The sequence below is a fragment of the Homo sapiens genome, chromosome 2 (assembly GCF_000001405.40).
Source record: "Homo sapiens chromosome 2, GRCh38.p14 Primary Assembly".
NCBI classification, from domain to species: Eukaryota; Metazoa; Chordata; class Mammalia; order Primates; family Hominidae; genus Homo; species Homo sapiens.
In genome coordinates this window covers 187,483,619-187,489,618 of record NC_000002.12, presented here as the reverse complement: position 1 = coordinate 187,489,618, position 6,000 = coordinate 187,483,619, and the positions used below count along the sequence as shown (strand labels likewise).

Below are 6,000 nucleotides of genomic sequence, written 5' to 3'. Positions count from 1 at the left end.
AATGAAAATTGCTTAGTGTTCTAGTCTTATGTACTCATTATATGTATACATTTCTTTCTTCTTATCAATTAAATCATATTAGTTTTATATCTAAATATTTTAATGTCAGGTTATATGACAGTCTACAATCTAGTTGAAAACATTAATATGAAGTTGGTTAGTTGCAGTGAAAACAAAGTAAACCAAAAAACTTACCTCAATAGATACAGCTATACATATACACACACACACACACCTCTTTTTTTAAAAGGCTATTGAATAAAACATAGTACAATTAGAAAAGAAGTTTGGGTCCGTTAGTTTCACTTTCATAGACATTTTACTCTCCATAGAAGAATTAACTATTTCAAGAAAAAAAGGATGATGCAGTTGCTGAAAGAGGCTTATAACCCAATTCATATTATTTCTCTCATTCTTTCTTCCCTTCTCTCTCTCGCTCCCTTTCTATCTCTCTGGTCATATAACGAATGCTAACCTGCTTTGACCAAAGATTTTCTCTGCAAAACAAATAATTCCACAACAAAATAAATACCACTCAACTTTCCTAATGTCTATGCGAGCAAATTAAAACTTCATAGATTTATTTTGTCAATTTAAATTTCATTACCTATCATTTAAATTAGAACTTAGAATTCATACTTGGAATATGGTAGGACAAAGACAACTAACATTCCAGTTTTAGAGGGAAATGATTCCGTTAATCAAATGTTAAACCAAACAACGTGTCCCAGATGCCTTTTGTTTCATTTCTTCTCTACATTGGTAATAATAATGAAACTTGCAATTGGATTGAGACAACGAAGCAGGGGAAAGAATAAGGAAAGGAAATAATTCTGGTTAATTTCACTTTTATTCCCAGTTATCTAACAAATTATTTTTATATGTAATGTAGGCTGCTTGAATTACTTTCATATTTCACATTTTTAAAATAATTGTTTTAAGTATAGATATCCTGAACAGTAAACATAGTCACTATGAATTCTCAGCTTTGTAAGTGTGTTAGAAAGTTTTATCATAGTTTCTAAAACATTACTCTATTGAAATGAAGTGGCTTCATGGTTACAATAAATAGAAAAGATTAATTTTTAGAGAAAAGAAAAAGAAATTCAATTTTTATTAAGACATTCTGTATAAGAATAATTTTAATGGTAATAAATATGTCACTCTTGTTTGTTAAATTCAAATTCATAGTATTACTTTATAAATTGTGACAATTGATATGCATATATTCTTTTGATTACAGATAATGCAAACAGGATTATAAAGACAACATTGCAACAAGGTGAACATTTATTTGTCTGTAAATTTGAAGCATTTATGTAAGGCATTTAGATATTCAATTTTTTGTTTGTTTGCTTGTTTGTTTTTTCTGGTCCCTGATTCAGTATAGATATTCAATTCTTAAGTTTCTCTGAGATTGATTTAAAAAAATCCATAAAAGAGATTGATCATAAACCCATATGACAGATTGATCATGTCATTTTTGAAATGATTTGTTGCATGATTCAATGGACATAATCAAAAATTAGGAAAATATATACATTATATTTGTCAGAGGAGGCTCCAAACACCGTATTTACTCTAATTCTAATGTAGTATGATATTTAGTTTTAGTTCAATCATAGTCCAGAGCCACACATGCTATTTTAACACCTTCCAGATAGAGATTTAGATATTTTGAGTCTTAACTTTATTTCTCTGATCTCTAATCACTTGTTAATCTAATCAACATTGTGTGGCTTTAGCAAGTTTCACCAAATATTCCCTTGAATGGATGTATGTCTCTGAGTTGTCAGCAGTTATACATGCAAAAGTAAGTAGAGATATTTAAAAATAAATATCTAGCATGTATGTGTATGTTTAATTGTGTAATTTAAATCATATCATTTATTGTTTTTAGCTAAAAATAATTACTTTTTCACAAATATATCAGCACAAGAAAAAATGTTATCAATGGATCAGGGAAACCAACGTCCTTTTAATAAAGGCCTGGAAACTGATTTGGTCCAATTGTCAGTTATGGCATTTACATTTCAATGAGAAAATATTGAACAAAGAGATTAAATTGTTTAACTCAGGACATGAAAGACCGCAACATGAAAGACCACAAAATTCAAAGTGCATTTTAATTTTATTTATTTTGATTTATTTATGTGGGAAAGAGTTGAAAATTTCTGTGACACATTGATAATCTTTAGGCTCAATTCACTGACCAGAATTGGAATCAAAATGTATAAAATAAAGATAATAGCAAAGTTTGTACAAGAAACATAACTAAATGTACTTACAATTTTAAAAAATAGATTCCTATAAATATTAAAATAATCTTGACCAAAATGTTTAGTACTTTAATTAAATGAAGGCCTTATCTGTAATATCAAAATGGCATATTTATAATAAAGAAGTTTTTGTCTACAAAGGAGAATAAATATTTTTGTGAAAGAAAATACCAACCTTTAAATATTAGGACCTTTTACCAAAAACATAAAATTAGAGAAAAATTAAATACAGGTACTATTTTTAGGTAAAATTATGCTATAAAGTGTATATTTATAATTCAGAATTCAATCATTCTTATCTCATATTATATATGAAAGTTAGAGAATAAAGCTGTGTTCACATGAATGTTAAAAATGCTTACATGTTAACACCTATTTGTAACAAAGACTTGATCAATTTCGAGTGAACTTTGTATTATGCTTCCTAGCATTGGACCATTATAAAGAGATTTGAGATTTAATACAATCCCTTAGAAAGAAAGTTTGGTCCAAGACAATTCCCAAGTATTCAGGCCCAAACAAAAGTTGACAGTGATAATGCTTTAGCTTATCCAGTCTGCATTCTGTGTTACTCAAGTGCAACTGAGCACCAACTTAGAGCAAGGGTTATGTATGCAAATTCAATAAGAAGGTTAATTTATTTACCTGAAGAAAATGGGAAATTAATTTTTTGATTTGCAACTGTAGTTTAAACTGCAGGCCAAAAAAAGAATTATTTTACATGTGTCCATTTTCAACTTTGTCTTCACATAAGTTCATGTTTCCCAATGTAGTTTCATATGAAAAATAACAACTTTCAGTTGTACAGTTTATTGTTTGTTGTGGTTTTGTTTGTTTATTTTTAATTTTTGTGGGTACATATTAGGTGTATATATTTATGTACATGTATAATTTCTTAATTATACTTATCAGCATAATTTTTTATACCTTTATGTTTTTTATATGCAATATTTTTCCTCCATCCACTTTTGGCAAACATAAAGTTCTTGTATCCTCTGTTCAGATCATTTAAAATTTCATAAAAAGTACACATTAAGACTAAAACAAATCATATGATAGTAATTCAATGTATTTTTACCTTATAAAATGTTATAACATTTTAAAGAATTGTTTTATTCCTTTCCCCCACATATTATTACAATTAACTAAAAATCATAAAAACATTCATTTGAAAGATCAAGAGGCAATACAGAAGAAACAAAGTTAACTTTCAAATTAATACATTGAAAAGTTACAGAAAATAGACTTTTAAAACTATATTATAGTAGGAAGTTTTACTTAATAAAATAACTTTTCAATAAGGAGTTTGTTCTTTTGCAGATCTGCAACTGTTGCAGAAATCATTAACATTATTAAATACATGTTCTTTTTTATTGTAAAATACTTGTGGGTATTGCTTCCCTGACATAGAAGAACAAGTTGCTTTAAGATGAAAAAAGGTTACCACAGTTCAGTTTTGCCAATATGGTAATATACTTGCAGGAAAAAAATTGAGAAATTGGAATTTTGTTCTAAAAATTCAAGCCCAATACGCCTGTGAGCATAATAATTTTGAAAATTAGCTCACTTCTTTTCACAGTGCATGCATGTAGACAGAGCTGGTGATGTAGATCACAGTGGCACAACTTTTATGACAGCTGTGTTTAGCCTGCTTTGGAGCACTATCAAAGAAGAAGTATTAGTCTTTTGCAAAAGCCTCTCCAATCCTTGAACATGTATTTCCTTTCTGCCTCTGCATTATTGAAGTCATTCCAATGACAAGAAGAAGGAAAAAATAAAAATGACACAGCAGTAAAGGATGTCCTACCTAGTACAGATATTAATTCCCGCATAAGAATTCAGGAACTTCTAAGGCTAGCCATGAAAACTTCCTACCCCTCAAATATTCTTTTTCAACTTTTAAAAATTTAAACCATTCTTAATGGAGCAACGCACTACAATGCTTTTCCTGAGAAGCCACCCTCAATAGCTTGAAATGTTCATAGACCTTCCCTAAATGTTAATACACATGAACATATTAAAAATAATTAAACCACATTTTTGCCATAATGTTTTGTAATTTCAAAGCAAGAGTGGTACATGGTAAAATAATCTTTTATTCCTTAAATTTGTAAAAAAATGACAGTTAATTCCCTATTAATTTACTATGAGAAATTTAGAATTTGAAATGCCAATCCCAAAATATGGTAGATAATTTTAATAGTGTATATTTATGGATAAAGTTAGATTTTTACTTTTTAATTTTTATGCTTACTCCTTCAATAACTTAGCCAGGTATTTATAAATTTTATTAAAATCAGTAATTTATTTACACAAAAGAATATTGCTTTCTGACATTTTTATAATTTCTAGAAAAGCCAGATTTCTGCTTTTTGGAAGAAGATCCTGGAATATGTCGAGGTTATATTACCAGGTATTTTTATAACAATCAGACAAAACAGTGTGAACGTTTCAAGTATGGTGGATGCCTGGGCAATATGAACAATTTTGAGACACTGGAAGAATGCAAGAACATTTGTGAAGATGGTCGTAAGTTTATTTCTTATTTCATTTTAGTTCATTTATAGGCATCCTTTTAAAACTAAGGCATCTCAGATGGCATTCTATACTCAGGTTTTGTTTGAGCCATGCAAATGAAGATATATTTGTGTGCATTCAATGTGAGATTTGTGACTGTAGTTTTTTAAAAAGCACAGAAAATTAAGAAATTATTTTCATAGATCTAATACTTTTTATGTTGCATTATTTAATTCTTCTTCCTGAGAATACTGCAGTACAATTTTGGCACAATAGAATTGCTGAAATCTTTCACATTTATACAAATATGAGAGCAAACAGTTACTGAAAACCACCACCTAAAGTCACTCAGTTTTATCTGCCTATAACATTTATTAAAGGGATGACTTAAACATTAACTGCTACGCTTTTTTGACCAAGAACTACAGTTACTCATGGAAATATTACCTTACAATTATATTTAAAGATTCACTGTTTGCTAATTTAACATAGCAATGTGAATGAAATTGCCAGAAGTCTGCTTTTTTAACTGTTGTACGCTTCATGAGTCCAAATATGAGATTGTGACAATGTTTATCTATTTTAATTGGCTGTATTTTTTTCCAGCGAATGGTTTCCAGGTGGATAATTATGGAACCCAGCTCAATGCTGTGAATAACTCCCTGACTCCGCAATCAACCAAGGTTCCCAGCCTTTTTGGTAAGAATCTTGTGGATTTTATTGCTTCCAGGAAACTATTATCATGCTAACAATGAAGTGGATTGTGTATTAGAAGTATGTCTTTAAATATATATATATACCTGCGTTGTTGCTTAATAATGTGTTTGTTGAAATACTGAGATTCAAATTGTTTAAGACATTTAATCTCATAAAAGCAACAATTTTCCTAATCTATTTTAAAGTATGCTTTGAAGTAAGCTTTTGATTATGTATCACATGAAAAACTTTCATATGATATTTAACTCTATGCCAAATTTATTTTGTAAAATGGTGCTAGGAATTATCAGCCTCAGTGTAAGATGGTAAATCATTGTACTGGCACAGCAGTGCATCAAACGCAGTCTAAAGTGCTTTTAAAGTCAGTATGACACTAGGCAAGGTCTCTGGTGTTACTCACAGGACAGATTAGAAATTGATTGAATAACCATGCCTAAATGTTATGTCACTCTGGAGGGAATTTTCTTTTGAATTCTGCAGGACTCTT

At 29.3% G+C, this 6,000-nt stretch overlaps 1 protein-coding gene and 1 long non-coding RNA gene across 16 annotated transcripts in view; one reads left to right on the top strand and one right to left on the bottom strand.

Annotated features, from left to right (window-relative positions):
* Positions 1–6,000, bottom strand: part of CALCRL-AS1 (CALCRL and TFPI antisense RNA 1) — a 544,253-nt gene that overhangs the window by 57,907 nt on the left and 480,346 nt on the right. The window lies entirely within an intron of this gene.
* TFPI (tissue factor pathway inhibitor) overlaps positions 1–6,000 on the top strand; it is a 90,206-nt gene that overhangs the window by 64,817 nt on the left and 19,389 nt on the right. For all 13 annotated transcript variants that reach the window (NM_006287.6, NM_001329240.2, NM_001329241.2 and 10 more), the window contains 3 exons: positions 1,244–1,282; positions 4,632–4,808; positions 5,403–5,495. In NM_006287.6, coding sequence (NP_006278.1) covers positions 1,244–1,282; positions 4,632–4,808; positions 5,403–5,495 — 309 coding nt within the window. The remainder of the gene's footprint in view (positions 1–1,243; positions 1,283–4,631; positions 4,809–5,402; positions 5,496–6,000) is intronic.